This window comes from Homo sapiens, chromosome 20, assembly GCF_000001405.40.
Source record: "Homo sapiens chromosome 20, GRCh38.p14 Primary Assembly".
Taxonomy (NCBI): Eukaryota; Metazoa; Chordata; class Mammalia; order Primates; family Hominidae; genus Homo; species Homo sapiens.
Window position 1 is genome coordinate 36,121,442 of NC_000020.11, and position 17,735 is coordinate 36,139,176.

A 17,735-nucleotide genomic window follows, 5' to 3' on the forward strand; every position below is an offset into this window, starting at 1 on the left:
GGGCTGTGATCCTTCCTCTTCTGTGGCCATGCTGGGTGACCTTAGGCTGGTTCTTGCCTCTCTCTGGTCCTCTTCCTCCCCATCTACCAAAAGGGGAGATGAGAACAGTCCCTGGCATTTGTGGGGCATTTGCCTGGCCTATGTGTCATGTGCTCACAGGAGCCCAGGCTGATTCCAAGGTCCCTTCCTTTCTAACATTTGGTTCCTGGGTCTCACAGGCCCTGGAAGTGACCACTGGGCTGAGTAGCTCATCAGCTTCCCCACACTGAAGCCCGAGGGGTCTCCTGCTGGCTTCTGAGAGCTGACGGAACAGGTTCCAGCAAGGCAGACCCTGACACAGAAGCCAGACCTGTCCAGCAGGGACCCCATACACTGGTGGGTGTAACCTCTTATTATTTCCTTTGGGCAGGAAGTGGGGAAGGCTGGAGTGGAGGTGGAGTGAGAGCAGACCTTCAAGGCCCCTGAAACTACGCACTTAACCTAGTTCTGCCTTGTGAAGGGTGGTGAAACCAAAGCCCGAGAAGGGCAGCTTTCCCCAAGACTTTGCCAGGTGTCACCAAACTATGCTGGAACCCAGATCTACTGATCCCTGCCTGGTGTCGTGTGCTCAGCTGTTCCTGGGCCTTGCTCACGGAGTAGGGGAGGGCAAAGGATAGAGCGTGTGTGCACCTGGCCAGGTGGAGAGTGGCCACATTTTATCCCGATGCTATGGTTGTGGGGGGAGAAGTGTCTCCATGTCATTTGTCATGTTTCCCTGCCTCCTGTCATGTTTCTCAGATAAGTTCCTGGGTCTCTTGCCCAACTGACGCAAACAGCCTATAGGTTGAGTGTCCAGAGGAGGGGGCGATGCAGAGGGCCGGCCTTTGTGCCAAATGGGGACAGGAGGCCTGGTGAGTCCTGCTGTACACCATTCCTGGTGGTGGAGCCGCTCAGCTGTGAGCGCCCATCCTTTCTCTGGGCAGTGGCCATGTGGCCTAGGCTAGCAGGCCCTGGAAGAGCCTTTCTGTGTCCTTCCTGGTTCTTGGTGTCTACCGCCTCACCCACACCCCTGAAGCTCTGGGCTTTGCTACTCAGCTCTGGCACAGAGACTGGTTTGGCAGGTTTGGCCACACCCATGAGCAGTGCGATGGCTGGGAGCTGGGGTGGAGCAGGCCTGAGGAGGCAGTGCTGCCCTGTCCTTACCCCCATACCCCCAAATCCCAGCCTCACTTCTGCCGCCTTTTCTACCTTTCTCAAGGGAGGCTTCCTGGGAAACTGGAAGGCAGAAGCCACGCAGACTTCTAGTCCTGGTTCCACTGCTTACTCGGTATGTGGCCCTTGGCCAGCCCCTTTCCCTTCTTGGACCTCAGTTTCAGCACCTGTACAATGGGGCTTTGGGCTCAGTGATCCTCAGACAGCCACGTTGTATGATTCTAGTTGGGGTTCTACGATTTTCTCTCCATCCCTGAACAAACGATAGAGCACTGACTGCCACAGGTTCCACCTGGGTAAAATGAGTGCCTCGACCCTTGCTCGCTTCCTGGAGATGTCGATAGGATCAGCCAACATCCTAGCAAGCATCCAGTCTCCATGGGAAAGTTTTCTTTCTATAGTCTGGCCTGCCCTTATCTGGTTCAAGCAGAAGGAGAGAGGATACCTAGAGATGGGGCTTTCTCTAGGCCCCCTCCCATGCTCCACTTACCCTGAGACCATAATTGACTGAGAACCAGGCTTTCTGAACGTCTCCATGATCGGGGGGGAGGGGCAGAGGTAGAGAACAAGAATACAGAGGAAAGGCCCTCGCACTTGCTGCCTCCTGTTCCTCCCGACCTTCAGACCAGCCCAGGGTCTAGTTTGGGGGAAGAGGGGAAGGCAGAAAAATTCCACCACTGCTACAGGCCCCCTCTGTGACACTGGGAAAATTGTGTACTTTCGCTGCACCTCAGTTTCCCGATCTAACGAGGAAGACACATGTCTTCCAGATCACATGTCCTCAGAAAATTTAAGTTCTGGTTTTTTTGTTTGTTTGTTTGTTTTTGAGACAGAATCTCGCTCTGTTGCCTAGGCTAGAGTGCAGTGGCGCAATCTTGGCTCGCTGCAACCTCCGCCTCCTGGGTTCAAGTGATTCTCCTGCCTCAGCTTCCCAAGTAGCTGGTATTACAGGCATCCACCATCATACCTGGCTAATTTTTGTAGAGACAGGGTTTTGCCATGTTGGCCAGGCTGGTCTCAAACACCTGACCTCAGGTGATCCACCCACCTTGGCTTCCCAAAGTGCTTGGATTATAGGAGTGAGCCACTGCGCTTGGGCAGAAAATTTAAGTTCTGACAATGTATAGGTCAGAAGAAGGAATGGGAGTTAGATGAAGAGGACATTCCCAGCCTGAGATGGGGGCTAGAGAGAGAAGAAAAAGGGAATTAACATTCAGTGAGCACCTATGTGCCAGTGCTATGCCAATTACTTTGCATACAATACATACACCATCTATATTCCCAAGTCTCCTTTCCAAGTGGCAGCCAGAGTGAACTTTGTAAAACACAAATTTGGCTGGGTGCAGTGGCCCACACCTGTAATCCCAACACTTTGGGAGTCTGAGGTGGGCGGATCACGAAGTCAGGAGATCGAGACCATCCTGGCTAACATGGTGAAACCCCGTCTCTACTAAAAATACAAAAAAAAAGAAATTAGCCGGGTGTGGTGGTGGGCGCCTGTAGTCCCAGCTACTCGGGAGGCTGAGGCAGGAGAATGGTGTGAACCCGGGATGCAGAGCTTGCAGTGAGCCGAGATCGCGCCACTGCACTCCAGCCTGGGCGACAGAGTGAGACTCCGTCTCAAAAAAACAAAACAAAACAAAACAAAAAACCCAAAAAACACAAATCTGACTATGTCACTCAGTGACTTTCCTCTGCCCTTAGAATAAAATCTAAATTCCTTACCATGGCGTTCAGAGCCCTGAGTGAGCCGGTTCCTGCCTCCCCCTTCCAGCCATCTATCTCTATTGGTCTCCATAGATCATTGGAAATTATTCTATTGGTCATTTCCGTCAGCCACAGGAGTCTTCTCTGTTCATTTAGCAAATTTATTCCAGTCTCAAGACCTTTACACATGCTTAGGTTCCCTCTGCTTAGAATTCTTTTCCTGGCTCTTTGCCGCCTTGGCTCCTTCTTATCCTCTACGTCGCAGTTTAATTTAGTCCTCCCACCCCCTGCACTGCTTTTTTCACCACCTCTTGATTCCTTCATAATGCTTATCACAATTTGTAGCTATTTGTCTTTTTCTTTTAATGTCATGTTCACTCTTGATTCCATGTGGCATGGCGCACAGTAGGTATTCAATAAGTATCTATTGGATGAATGAATGAATGAATTGTAAGGAAATGAGAGAGTGCTGGTTGAGTGCCTGGCATAGGGTATGGCTCTTAGGAGGTGCTCAATAAATGGCAGCTTTTAGTGAGAACTGACATGGCAGAGAAAATAAATACCCACTGATAGATTGCATACATGGTGGGTAGGGGAGGCAGCGGGTAATTAAGATTGGAAAGTGATGCACTCGTGCCAGATCTTGGGGGTCCCTGATGCTCAGCCAAAGAGTTTAGACTTCCTGAAAGAGTAGCTGGAAGTCATTGCTGGGCCATTAATGTAACTATAAAGCCCTACTTCTAAGATGTGGGCTCAGCCACTTTGCGTACTCAAGGGGCTGTGCTGTATGGTGGTGGGGTTGCAGGGTTGGGGACAAACCCAGAGAGAGACAGGCTGGGAACCTTTCTGGTGTCATTCTCTGAGACAGGCTATTCCTACAGGCCCAGAAGGAGGGGACACAGTTAGGAGCATCCTGTGTTTTCTGATTCCACATGGCCATTACATTGTTTCTGGGGAGTGGAGGATAGGGGTGACCTAAGAGTCAGATGCTTGGATTTCTATTTGAGCCCCTCCCCTTATCAACCGTGTGACTTCTGCTAGGTTCATTTGCATTTCTGATTCTGTTTCTTCATCTGTAAACAGGCTGCTGTTCGTACCTGCCTCATGGTTTTCTTGGGGAGGATCAATGAGGTAGAACCTGCAAAGGGCTTAGCAGAGAGCCTAGCACCTACTGAGCGCTCAGTAAAGGTGAGCTATTATCTTCCATTCAACAGTGGGGGATTCAGAAAGGTAGATTGAACCACAAGTGCACAGAGGCATGAAACACTTTGGAGTGGCAGGAGTTTCCTGTGTGTGTTGGGGACGGCAAGGAGGCAAGTGGAGTGGCAGGTGGGTCCAGCTCCTGCAGCCCGTGTATATTGACCAGGAGCTGGCACTTTATCTGGAGAGCGATGAAGACACTGCAGGGTATCAGGTTGGGAATGATGTGATCTGATTTCTGGCAGTGGGAGGATGAATTGGAAGGGTAAGGCTGGAGACCAGGAGACGGATGGTAGTCTGTTGGTGTGGCCTGGTGAGAAGTGATGGGCTTCATCTCAGGCTCATGGAAGTGTAGAAGAGGGAACAGATCACAGAGTGAGTAGAGACAGAGAACGGACAGTGTGGGGCCGATGGGTCTTGGGGAAGGGAGGGGGAAGAAAGGAACTTGTCCTAGATGGCTGCAGACTTTCTCGATGGGGGGCTGACGAGATTATAAAACCGAAAGTATGGACAGTGCATGTGGGTTTTGATGCCTGTAGTTTGACTTTTCTGGGAATTCAGTAGCTCCCTGAGAAACCTCTCTTTTATCTGACTCTCTGTGTAGAAAATCTTTCTAAAATCTCTGAATGATGACTCCTCCATTAGGGATGAGGAAGGCCTCCTGTGGGGACACCGTGCATACCTCCTAAGGAGGGGTGGCAGCTTGGCCTCCTTTGGTGGTAACAAAGCTGGGGATTTTATTTGGAAGCTGTATTTCAGAGTCTATCAGTTTTCTTGTGATTTTCTTCAAAGCATGTACAAAAAGGCAGTTCCAGTTAGTGGAATTTTTTTTTTTTTTTTTTTTGAGACAGAGTTTCACTCTTGTTGCCCAGGCTGGAGTGCAATGGCGTGATCTCGGCTCACTGCAACCTCTGCCTCCCGGGTTCAAGCGATTCTCCTAACTCAGCCTCCCAAATAGCTGGGATTACAGGCATGTGCCACCACGCCCAGCTAATTTTGTATTTTTAGTAGAGACTGGGTTTCTCCATGTTGGTCAGGCTGGTCTCAAACTCCCGACCTCGGATGATCCGCCCGCCTCGGCCTCCCAAAGTGCTGGGATTACAGGCGTGAGCCACCGTGCCTGGCCAGTGGAATGTTTTGTGTATTTATTCCACGGCTCTGGACCAAGACTAGGCAACTTTTCAAGAGTGGTGAAAGGTAAGCTCCTGCGTGCTCCCTCTCTCTGTTATTTTCTTGATTGGTGTGGACTGGAAGCTCACATTCCAGAGAAACTTAGGTCTTAGATTACCCGTCTAATTTTCCTTATGGATGGGAACAAGAGAAGGTGCATGAAAGTTGCTCATGATTGTGAATAATGCCACAGCTGGGCTTGGCCCAGGCACCTCACTGGCAGCTACAGGCTTTCCCATGGCATGCAGCTGGCACTGCCTCTGGAGAGGAGGATAGGGGTGATGAACTGATGAACATCAGCACAGCCCCCGGCCCATCTCAGAGGCACACACCTAGTGGCAGCGGGAGGGCCCCCGCAGACTGGAGAGGACTCAGCTATTATTGTCCTAAGCCTCTGACAGTGAGGCTCATCCATACCCCGCCTCCCATCTGAGATGAGCTCAGAGATATGACTGAAGTTTCAGGGCTAAAACCAAAGGGATTGGGTTGGTACCCCCTTCTTATGAGAAAAGGAGAGGAGAGCCCTGTCTGGGTCTGGCGGAATACAGTCTGCATCCCCACCCCAGCTGATTGCAGTGATGAGGAGATGCCTTTGTCTGAGTTGCCAGGGGAACCAAAGTTTCTGCCTTCTTCTAAGGCCCTGATTGGCTCCTGCTGGAGCTTAAGCTTTGGTGAATGGAAGGGCCTCTCTTCTGCCTACACCTTCCCTGAGGTGAGAGACGAGTAAGGCTGGAGTCCCCATGGATGCACTGTGTTGGTGTCTCTGTCCTACCTCCTTAGCTGGGGGTGCTGGATCCCCTTGCTCATTCGTCTTTCACTAATCCTGGGCAGCATCTGCCCCAGGCCTTTCATCCTTCTAGGTCCAGGAAAGCTAGCCTAAGAATCAGGAAAACTGTATACCAATCCTGACATAGGCAGACTCACTCTTGGCCTTGGGCAGGTCTCTTCTCCCTGGGCCTCGGTTTCCCTACCTGTAAAAATGAAGGCATTGGGCTAAACTCTGGTCCTTCCAGCTCTGACTTCCCTGACCACACAGCCCAGATCCCCTCTCTGACCTTCCATGGCCCTCCTCGTGCCTCTTGTGTGCCTCTGACTGCATTCTCTCTCGTAGGTTCCCTTGTAAGATGCAGGTCAGAATAGGGGGTTGTAACCAGCCTTGAGCATTGTTTTGGTTTTCTGTAGGAAAAATTGTGCTCCCTGAAGCCTGTCCTAGAAGCCCTACATCCTGCAACCCCTCTTGTCCTCATCTGTCTCACCTGGACCGAGCCCCAGGGTCAGAAGCCCGGGGGAACGAATGATGGGTGCTTGTGTCTGTTGCAGGGTGGGGCTAGGCAGTGTGCAGAAAGGAGCATGTGGGGGTGGGCGGGGGCAGCTGGAAGAGCCCTGGAGCTCAGCAGTCCTGGGTTCCAGGCCTAATTTGTCTACCTGCTGGCTATGTGACCTTGGGAGGGTGGCTCAGTTGCAGTCTCCCCATCTATCACACAGGAATAATAATGCCACCTCACAGGGCTTGTTGCCAAGATGACATGTCTGCCATACAGGAGACACCAAGTTCCCTTCCCTGCTCTCTCTTCTAAACAAGGCAGGGAGATGGGGAAAGTTCAGACTGAGGAGGGGCCCTAGGCTGCAAGACCTGAGGTGCCCCAGGCCGGGCCTTAGATGCTGCTCATTCCTGGCAGTGCCAAAAAGCAGGGAGAAAAAAGTATTGGCCTTGGGTGGATGGGGGAGGCTGTGTGTCAGAGCTAATGTTTAAATAACACTTTTAAGATCCTCCAGGGACCTCAAATGAGGATTTTTCAGATGAGCTGAAAATGGAGCAAAGTAATGAGACTGAGCTCACTGGCAGGAAAGGGAGCAGCCTTAATTGGTACTGGCCCTGCCTTGGCCCCGTGACACTCATTACCACAGGCTGCCCAGGAGGATGACCCGTGCATTTGGGCTGTAAGCAATGTCAATTTCTTAGCATGGGGTGATGGGGTTGCATCTGGTAGTGACTCAGCCCTGCTTCTTGTCGACTCACCAGGTTGAGGGTCAGAGAGGACTTCTTAGTTGGCCTTCAGAGCCTGGTTTAGTTTTTAGCTTTGTGACCTAGCCTCTCTCCACCTCTGGGGTCTAGAGGCAGCAGCCAGACCTGGCCACTGTCTGTCACAGGTGTGGTGGGAGGCAGGGATGGGATGTTGAAGTCAGGCATGAGTTGCTGGGGGACCTTCCCTCCTTTGCTGAGGTTTGCCTGGGGTCCTGGATGAGGTGGGTGGAGAGAGGGAGGAAGGGGCATTCTCAGAAGAAAAAAGGCTGGTGGGTGTGTGGGTGGGTGAATTTGTGCCAATGAGATGTGACTCTCTGGGCAAGCTTGTGTAGCTTACATGGAGGAGGCACAGAATCTAAGGGACATGTCTCAAAGAGGCTGAGGGATGGGCCTAAGAAGCCAGCATGGGTGGGGGTGAGGGGTGGGTCCTGGGAGTGGTTTGGTTTGCGAGTCCCTGTGGAAACACAGGTGGTAGAATTGGTGAATGGTATGGACCAAGAGTCCTATTCTGAAGACACCAGAAAATTCTGACCAGGCTCTTGTACGTGAGGCCTCTTCTGTTTTGCTTGGGCTGGACTGCGGGGTGAATGGCCACGGGTGTGGTAAGTTACCGCTTCTCCTGGGGGGAGCCTGGTTTGCATTGTAAATACTGCTCCTGGAGCCACTGGTCATGGTGGGGGCACTTTTTCAGACGCCTTCCTGGGGAATGTGTGAGGGCCGATTGTTAGATCATTCTTGGCACCTGGTTTGCATTATGAATGCAGTTGGGAGGCATAAGGGCAAGCATTGGGTCACTAGCGGGTCCCAGGCCACCCTGACCCCAGGCTCACTGCTCCCGAAGCACTCCCTCTCCTTGGTCTCTGGGACAGCACACCCCACTTTCTGGCTTTCTCACTCTGGCCTGCCCTCATTTGCCTGTTGCTGCTCCTCTCCTTAACTGTTCAGTGTGTGGGTTCCTCAGGGCTGCATTGCAGTTATTGTCGTTTTTAAAATAATACCGTTTTTTAATTTTAAAAATTCAATTTATTCATTTATTTTAAAAATTACAAATGAGAGCTCATTATGTTGGCCAGGCTGGAGTGCAGTGGCAACTCACAGGTGCAATCACAGCCTCAAACTCTTTGACTCAAGGGATCCTCCTACTTCAGCCTCCAGAGTAGCCGGGATTACAGAGTGTGCCACTGCACCCGGCAGGTTTGTTTTTTTTTTTTGTTTTTTTTTTTTGAGACGGAGTCTTGCTCTGTCACTCAGCCTGGAGTGCAGTGGCGTGATCTCAGCTTACTGCAACCTCCGCCCCCCAGGTTCAAGTGATTCTCATGCCTCAGCCTCCCAAGTAGCTGGGATTACAGGCACCCGCCACCATGCCCAATTAATTTTTCTATTTTTAGTAGAGACGGTATTTCTCCATATTGGCCAGGCTGATTTCGAACTCCTGACCTCAAGTGATCTGCTCGCCTTGGCCTTCGAAAATGCTGGGATTACAGGCATGAGCCACCTTGCCCAGCAGTGTTTTTTTTTTTGTTTTTTTTAATTAAAACCATAATAACATAGTACCAAGATTTGGGAAAACAGGAAGCAGAAAAAAATTACTCCTGAATATGATTGGGAGCTTGGAGTGTTTCCTTTCACCAGTTTTCCTTTGCTCTTTCTTGCACAGTCATAATTTCTACCGCATCATCAGTACTGTCCTGCATTTTTCTCTTAATGTTGTATCGGAAGCTGCCTTCCGTGTCGTTACTGAGGATTCTATTAAATACACGATCAACTCATCCCTTTTCCTGCTCATGGATATTCCGGCTGTTTCTAGTTTTTGCTATTATGAATAACAGTGCAATGAACATTGCATAAAATGTTCTTCCTGTATTTCAGATGATGATGTCTCTTGGGGTGAAGACCCAGGAAGAGAATGCTGGGTAAAAGGCTGTGGCTGCCTTAGAGGCTCTCAGTAAACTTGCCAAACTGCTATGCCAACCTTTAACCCCCAGCATCCAGGGTGAATGGCAGGAACTGTTTTTTATTTTTCTCTCTCTCTCTATTTGATTTTTAAAAATTTCTCTCTCTCTCTCTCTCTCTCTCTCTCTTTTTTTCCCCGAGACAGAGTTTTGCTCTTGTTGCCCAGGCTGGAGTACAGTGGCATGATCTCGGCTCACTGTAACCTCTGCCTCTGGGTTCAAGGGATTCTCCTGTCTCAGCCTCCTGAGTAGCTGGGATTACAGGAGCCCGCCACCACACCCGGCTAATTTTTTTTTTTTTTTTTGAGACAGAATTTTGCTCTTGTTGCCCAGGCTGGAGTGCAATGGCTCAATCTTGGCTCACTGCAGCCTCTGCCTCCTGGGTTCAAGTGATTCTCCTGCCTCAGCCTCCCGAGTAGCTGGGGTTACAGGCATGTGCCACCACGCCCAGCTAATTTTGTATTTTTAGTAGAGATGGGGTTTCTCTATGTTGGTCAGGCTGGTCTTGAACTCCTGGCCTCTGGTGATCCGCCCGCCTCGGCCTCCCAAAGTGCTGGGATTTCAGGCATGAGCCACCGCGCCTGGCTAATTTTTGTATTTTTAGTAAAGATGGGGTTTCACCATGTTGGCCAGGCTAGTCTCAAATTCCTGACGTCAGGTGATCCACCCACCTTGGCCTCCCAAAGTGCTGAGATTACAGGTGTGAGCCACCACACCCAGCCTGTTTTTTATTTCTCTTAGGTCTGAAGAGCCTGTTCCTTGTGTGTAGGGACTGCTCCCAACTGTCCTCTGTCCATGCATTCATTCATCCTAAGGCGGGAGGCAGAATAGGGCTGTGGTGTCAGGCTGCCTGGGTTCAAACCAGCCTCCCCTCTTAACCACCTTGTGTCCACTTCCTCAGCTGTAAAGTGAACATCATGACAGGGAGCTACCTCACAGGGTCCCTGTGAGGCTTTCTGTGCATGAAAGCATGGAAGACACTTGAAATACTACGGTAAGCCAGGATGACAATGGTCAGGCCTAGAGAGAGGAAGGGGCTGATCTCTCACCACCTAGTGATGCAGGGGCAGAGCTGAGGCCAGAATCAGGCTTCCTGCCTCCAGTGCTCTCTTTCCCTGATGCCAGGCTACTGCTGTGGATGGTGTGGTTTATGGCGTAGGTGGCCCTCTGTTCAAGAATATGTGGGAGGGGTGGAGGGCCTGGATGGATCTATAAGGTGGGGTCTCTCCCTTTCCTCCCAGAGCCGTCACCTTCTTTCTGGGGTGCTTTCCCCCACAAAGTTATCTCTCTAGGTTAGAGCTTGGGGCCCCAGCTCAGGCCTGTTCCCCAGAGGTATATCCAGGGGACATCTGGCCCCAAGGAATCTCCCTGGCTAGCCCTTGAGGAGGGCGTTTCAGTCTGGAGGGAAAGGTGAGTTCTGAGGACCCCTCCCTAGGTGACTGTGTCAGTTTCCTAATGCTGCCCTAACAAATGACCATATACTTAAAACAACACAAATGGATGACCCTAGACTTCTAGAGGTCAAAATCTGAAAATGGACCTTATGGGGCCGAAGTCAGGGTGTTGGCAGAGCTGCTAGGGGAGGATCCTCACCTGGCCTTTTCCAGCTCTCCAGGCCACCCACATGCCTTGGTTCATGGCCCCTTCTAGTAGCTGGGTCCCTCCCACCTCTGCCTCCGTCATCATATCTCCTCCGATTCCCCCAAATCCCCTTTTGACTTACAAGAACCCCTGTGGTTACATTGAGCCCATTCAGATAATCTAGGACCATTCTCCATCTCAAAACTCTTTACCTAATCACCTGTGCAAGGTCCCTTTTGCCACGTGAGGTAACATATTCACCTGATTCTGGGGATGAAGACATGGACATCTTTGTGGGCGGGGGGGGGGGGCGCATTATTATGCCTGCCACAGCAGCCAGTAGCAAAGATCTCTCTGGATTACTGGACCCCCAGGTCCTGCTGGAATTGTACCACTAGCCTCCAAGATGGAGGGAGGGCTTGGGGGTCCAGGCCTGATATGCTGTGGCCGGGGAGGGGTATGAGAGATTCTGTATGATGGGGGGCCCGGAAGGAAGGCAGTGCACCTGTGATAGTGTGATAAATGTGTTCAGTGAGGCAGACATTGGGAAATGTCACCCCTGGCCTTCAGAGGTAGTCCTGGTAGGTGTGGGACCCACTGTGAGGCACTGCCACAGAAAGCCAAGCAGCACCCGCTCCACACACCACCATCACTGCTGTGTGTGTACACGTGCTTGTGGGTGTGTGCACTCATCTGTGTCTCTGCATGAATACTCTTGGGAGGGCCAAGGAACAACTCTTGAAAAAGGTCCTTTCTGCTCTTGTTCTAAGAAAAATAATTACACAAGTGACTAATTTTATCCCTAATCCCATAATTACTTTATTATGTAGCTGGTGAGAGGGCCCGAGCTGTGCCTTTGGCTCCACTCTGGCTGTTAGCCCAGTTGGCCTGGTCCACCAGCGTTGAGCCCCGCCTTGTTTCTGGCCTGGGACTGCCATGAGGGCAAGATGAGTTCCATTCTGGCTGAGATCCAACTACCCTTTGGTATTTGGGGTCTGAAAAGACCACCATTTCTTCCCACCAAGCCCATGCACAAAGTAAGAGCTTGTGTTTAGGGAATTAAGTCAGTAGATTCAAGAGATCTGGGTTCTAGTTCACCCCTCTCATTAACTTGCTCCCTGACCTTGAGCATGCCATTTCCCTCTGGATCTCAGATCTGTTGTCTGTGATACAGGGCCCTGGCCAGCTTAACACTCCATGATTCCATGAGGAGAAATGGGAAGACTAGAGCTTTGAGACAGAGGTACCTTCTTGCTACCTGCTGAAAACATACCCCAATCATAGCATTAAAGATAATATTAATAGTAGCTGGGCACAGTGGCTCATGCCTATAATCCCAGCACTTTGGGAGGCCGATGCAGGCGTATAGCTTGAGCTCACGAGTTTGAGACCAGCCTGGGCAATATGCAAACCCTGTCTCTACAAAAAATACAAAAATTACCTGGGCGTGGTGGCATGCGCCTCTGTGGTCCCAACTACTCAGGAGGCTGAGGCGGGAGGATCGCTTGAGCCTAGGAGGTTGAGGCTTGCAGTGAGCCGAGATCACGCCACTGCATTCCAGCCTGGGCAACAGAGTGAGACCCTGTCAAAAAAAAAAAAAAAAAAGTAACAATAATATCCATCATTACTTGATAGCAAACCTTGTACCTGATTCTTCATTTATATTTTTCTCATTCTATACTTGGATGACTAGGTGAGGTAGGTTTTACGGAAGAGGAAGCTGAACCAGCAGTTGATAAAGTGACTCACCTGTCATGAAATGGCAGAGGTAGGACTGTAGCCTATGCTCTTAGCCTCTGCCTCCATTGTCTTTTTCTACTGTATAAATAAATGAAGGGCCACTCAGCTAGGAAGTGGCGGGGCTGGGATTTGAACCCAGGTCTGTCTGTCTCCAAAGTTCTTGCCACCTCCCAGAATTAGGCTTCCAGGGGTGATTATACTCTTGAACTTCAAATATGTAAACTTAAGCTTGACACAACAAGAAATAGCGATGGTGAAATAAATTGGAAACTCCAGTAGACCAGAGAGTTGGTAGCCCGAGGTTGTGTTCTAGCTTTGCCACTGGCTCACGCTGTGAACTTAAGCAGATCCCCACTAATCCCTAGGCCTCAGTGTTCCCATGTACACGAGGGGTGGGATTCGATGGTATCCAAAGGCCTTCCTGGTATTGATGGTTTGACATTCTAGGCCATCTGGTCCCAGAAGGTACTGTGGGGCAGGAGACCAGCTCATGGTGGAGACCAAAGGGTGGGTGAGTTGGCAGCCCTAGTTTTTTCTATTACATTTATTCCCACGAGAATAGAGATTGCTTGGACTGTGTCCCACTGAACATTTGCAGAACAACTTACCCAGGCCATGGAGTTGAGAATAAAGAGTGGAGGAGGTAGTTTCCAGGCTGTTCCTGCAAGGTTACTGCCCAGCCTGGGCTATTAGCTCCTCAGGGGTCCAGGTCTGTCATCTACCTTGCTCCAAAGGCTGCATTGGTCTCAGGTAGGCAGAAGCAATGGCTGCACGTCTGTCTGTGGGAGTCTGTGAGGGTGCCTAAGCATAATAAATAAGAACACTATTTTGTGTTTTCTCTGTCTTTTTTTTTTTTTTTTTTTTTTTTTGAACCAGGGTCCCACTCTGTTGCCCAGGCTAGAGTGCAGTGGCTTGATCACGGCCCACTGCATGCAACCTCCACCTCCTGGGTTCAAGTGATTATCCTGCCTCAGCCTCCCGAGTAGCTGGGATTACAGGTGCATGCGACCACATCTGGCTAACTTTTGTATTTTTAGTAGAGACAGGGTTTTGCATGTTGGTCAGGATGGTCTCAAACTCCTGGCCTCAAGTGACCCGACCACCTCGGCCTCCCAAAGTGCTGGGATTACAGGCGTGAGCCACTGCACCCAGCCTACTTTGTATTGTCTATTATCACGGCCTGCAACCCACTTTCCTTGAAATATTACGTTTACTTCTCTTAAAACCATATGAGGTATGTATATGGTCATTCCCATTGTACAGTTGAAGAAACTGAGACTCAAAAGGTTAAGTACTTTCCTTCAGATCACACAATCAGTGAGGGATAGAGGGGGATTTGGGATTCTGCCTCCAGAGCCCACGGTCTTGGCCTTAGGGACTGATACCACATGGGCCGAAGCAATAAGCATGAGGTCAGGAGTCAGCGGGTTTGGAATCCCCCCTCTGCTCACCATCTGTGTTTCCTTGGGCAAGTTACTTTATCTGTCTGGATTTCCGTTTCTCTCTCCATAAAATGGGTATATTAATACCTGCCAGTTGGGATTGATTTAAAGGTCACTGAGATGATGGGAAGTGCAAGTGTCTAGCCTGTGGGCTTTCACCTCTTGCCCCTGCCTCCTTCCTGCTTCCCTCTACATATCTGAGGCTCTGGCCACCCTGGAGGTCTCCCACGCATAGCTCTTAGCTTAGGCCTTTGCACAAGCTGCTCTTCTGCCTGAAAGTTGCTGTCTCTGCCTGTTGTTGTAAAGATAGACTTCCTTCACATCTAGACTTCGATCCTTTACTGTTTCCTTGAGGATTCTGGAAAGGGGAAGGGGTGAGGTAGGTTCTCCCACAGGCCTGTTCAGTGATTATCAGGACAACCCCTCGGTAGGGGCAGAATTGAGGGTAGCAGGTAGGGTCCTGAACACCCTGGAAATATAAATCCCTCCAGAAAATTTCCTCCCTTTATACTTGACAGCTTAGGAAGGGCGTGCATATGAGGTGAGTGTTTCGTCTTTGGATCATTAACCTTCCTATTACTGTGGTCTCACTTTTTCAGTTCCCCCTATTTCTTTGGCATCATCTCATGGCCTTTTACTTTCTTGTTTGGTTTTCTTGCTAGAACTTACAAAAAAATTTTCAAAATTGTGGTAAAATATACAGAACCTAAAATTTACCACCCTGACCACTTGTTTTTTGAGGGAGGGTCTCTCTCTGTTGCCCAGGCTGGAGTGCAGTGGCATGCCCTTGGCTCACTGCAACCTCTGCCTCCCAAGCTCAAGCGATCCTCCCGCCTCAGCCTCCTGAGTAGCTGGGACTACAGGCACATGCAACTGTGCCCGGCTAAGTTTTTTTTTTTTTTTTTTTTTTGGAGAAACAGGGTTTCACCGTGTTGCCCAGGCTGATCTGGAACTCCTGGCCTCAAGTGATCCAACTGCCTCAGCCTCCCACAGTGCTGAGATTATAGGTGTGAGTCACCATGCCTGGTCCATCTTAACCATTTTTAAGTAAGTGTACACTTCAGTAGTGTTGGGTAGGTTCATATTGTGTAACACCATCACTACCACCATCTTCAGAACTTTTAAATCTTTTTTCTTTCTTTTTTTTTTTTTAGAGATGGTGTCTCGCTCTGTTGCCTAGGCCTGAGTACACAGGTGCAATCATAGCTCACTCCATCCTTGAACTCCTGAACTTCAGCAGTCCACCTGCCTCAGCCTCCTGAGTAGCTGGGGCTACAGGTGCATACCGTGGTACCTGACTAATTTTTTTTTTTGTAAAAATGGGGTTCTTCTTTTGTTGCCCAGGCTGGTCTTGAACTCTTGGCTTCAAGTAATCCTCCTGCCCTGGCCTCCCAAAGTAACGGGATTACAGGTGTGAGCCTGAATTTTTTAATTTTTTAAAATTTACTTTTCCACGGCAGAGTATTGTTCTGTTGCCTAGACTGAAGTGCAGTGGCACGATCACTGCAGCCCCAACCTCCCAGGCTCAAATGGTCCTCCCATCTCATCCTCCCAAGTAGCTGGGACTACACATGCATGCCACCATGCCTGGCTAAGTTTTTCTTTTTTTCCTTTTCTTTCCTTTCCTTTTTTTTTTTTTTTTGAGACAGGGTTTCACTCTGTTGCCCAGGCTAGAGTGCAGTGGCTCAATCTCGGTTCACTGCAACCTCTGCCTCCTGGGCTCAAGGGATATTCGCCCCTCAGCCTCCCAAGTAGCTGGGACTACAGGCATATGCACTATCACACCTGGCTAATTTTTTATTTTTTGTAGAGACAGGGTTTCATCATGTTGCCCAGGCTGGTCTCAAACTCCTGACCTCAAGTAATCCGTATGCCTCAGCCTCCCAAAGTGCTGGGACTATAGGCATGAGCCACTGCGCTGGGGCAGCTAATTAAAAAAAATTTTTTTTGGATACAGATTGGGTCTCACTATGTTGCCCAGGCTGGTCTCAAACTCCTGGGTTCAAGTTATCCTCCTGCCTCAGCCTCCCATAGTGCTGAGATTATAGGCATGAGTCACCGCACCCAGCCTGAATACTTTTTTTATGTTTTGAGACTGAGTTCCGCTTTTGTTGCCCAGGCTGGAGTGCAATGGCGCGATCTTGGCTCACGGCAATCTCCGCCTCCTGGGTTCAAGCGATTCTTCTGCCTCAGCCTCCTGAGTAGCTGGGATTACAGGCATGCACCACCGTGCCCGTCTGATTTTGTATTTTTAGTAAAGATGAGTTTTCTCCATCTTGGCCAGGCTGGTCACAAACTCCTGACCTCAGGTGATCTGCCCGCCTCGGCCTCCCAAAGTGCTGGGATTGCAGGCATGAGCCACCATGCCCAGCCAAATTTTTTAATATGAAAAAAGTGAAACTATATCCATTAAACAATAACTCCCATTTCCTCCTCCCCCAACCTGTGGCAGCTGCCATTCTCCTTTCTGTAACTGCAAATTGGACTAGATACCTCAGATAAGTGGAATCATACAGTGTTTGTCTTTTTGTGACTGGCTTTTGTTACTTAGTATAATGTCCTCAAGTTCACCCATGTTGTCATATGTATCAGAATTCCCTTCCTTTCTAAAGCTGAATAATATTCCATTGTATATATGTACAACATTTTGTTTATCCACTCATCTGTCGATGGACACTTGTTGCTTCCACCTCTTGGCTATGTGAATAATGCTGCTATGGCCTTGGCTGTACAGAGATCTCTTTGACACCTTGCTTTCAATTATTTTGGATATAGCCTCAGAAGTGGAATTGCTGGGTTGTATGGTTAGCACTTTTTTTTTTTTTTTTTTTGAGACAAGAGTCTCGCTCTGTCAGCCAGGCTGGAGTGCAGTGGCACGATCTCAGGCTCACTGCAGCCTCTGCCTCCCAGGTTCAAGCAGTTCTCCTGCCTCAGCCTCCCGAGTAGCTGGGATTACAGCTTCTCCACCCCGCCCGCTAATTTTTGCATTTTTAGTAGAGACAGGGTTTCACCATGTTGGCCAGGCTGGTCTCGACTCCCAGCCTCAGGTGATCTGCCCGCCTCAGCCTCCCAAAGTGCTGGGATCACAGGCATGAGCCACCACATCCAGCCAGCACATTTTTTAAAGCCACTATTTATTGCATGCTTAATATGTGCCAGGAACTGGGTTAATGATTTGACATATATTGCCTCACTCAATCCCTGCGTCCACTCTGAGTAGTAGGAAGAATTATCCCCAGTTTGTAGCTGAGAAAATAAAGACTCAGAGAGGTTAAGTTATTTGCTCAAAGTCTCACAGCTAGGAAGCTTTGGAACATGCACTGGAGCTTTGACCTGCCGCCAAAGCCTTGCTTTTAACTATTGTGACATGCTGCCTCCCAGTGGCCTCTCTCTCCACCTGTCTATAGAATTTTCTGCCTCTGTTGTGTCCCATTTTTTTTTTCTCTCTTGCCTTGTGTGTGTTCACTCTCTCTGGAAACTTTGAACAACTTAAGTAAAGGCCCTTTGACTGCCAAGAAGTTTTGTGAGTTGGAAACTTAGAGCGGGAGGCCTGTAATTTGCTTTCTAATCATGGTCCTCTGGATTTATAGCTGCCTGTCTCCCAGTGACTGACAGGCTCTTATTCAGCCTCTTGTGGTGATTGCCTTGTGGATCCACAGAAAGCCGGCCCAAGAGGGCCAGCTTCCTGGGTACAGGGACGCTGTACCCCCAGAGAGGCAGTGTGGG

The 17,735-nt window shown here is 49.7% G+C and overlaps 1 protein-coding gene across 13 annotated transcripts in view, besides 2 other annotated features; it reads left to right on the forward strand.

The window, feature by feature from the left end:
• EPB41L1 (erythrocyte membrane protein band 4.1 like 1) overlaps positions 1-17,735 on the forward strand; it is a 141,386-nt gene that overhangs the window by 30,028 nt on the left and 93,623 nt on the right. Inside the window, exon 3 of one of the 13 annotated variants that reach the window (NM_001258330.1) lies at positions 3,982-4,086. The exons of the other annotated variants lie outside the window; for them this stretch is intronic. Coding sequence (NP_001245259.1) covers positions 4,003-4,086 — 84 coding nt within the window. The 5' untranslated portion in view covers positions 3,982-4,002. The remainder of the gene's footprint in view (positions 1-3,981; positions 4,087-17,735) is intronic. 13 annotated transcript variants of the gene reach the window in all.
• Positions 7,546-8,047: an enhancer, noted in NCBI's record as "H3K4me1 hESC enhancer chr20:34716909-34717410 (GRCh37/hg19 assembly coordinates)". NCBI's record gives its function as "activates a minimal SCP1, AML or CMV promoter by ChIP-STARR-seq in naive H9 embryonic stem cells {active_cell/tissue: H9 hESC(naive)}" and the evidence as "EXISTENCE:reporter gene assay evidence [ECO:0000049][PMID:30033119]".
• Positions 17,435-17,484: an enhancer, noted in NCBI's record as "active region_17804". NCBI's record gives its function as "activates an Ori minimal core promoter by ATAC-STARR-seq in GM12878 lymphoblastoid cells {active_cell/tissue: GM12878}" and the evidence as "EXISTENCE:reporter gene assay evidence [ECO:0000049][PMID:35858748]".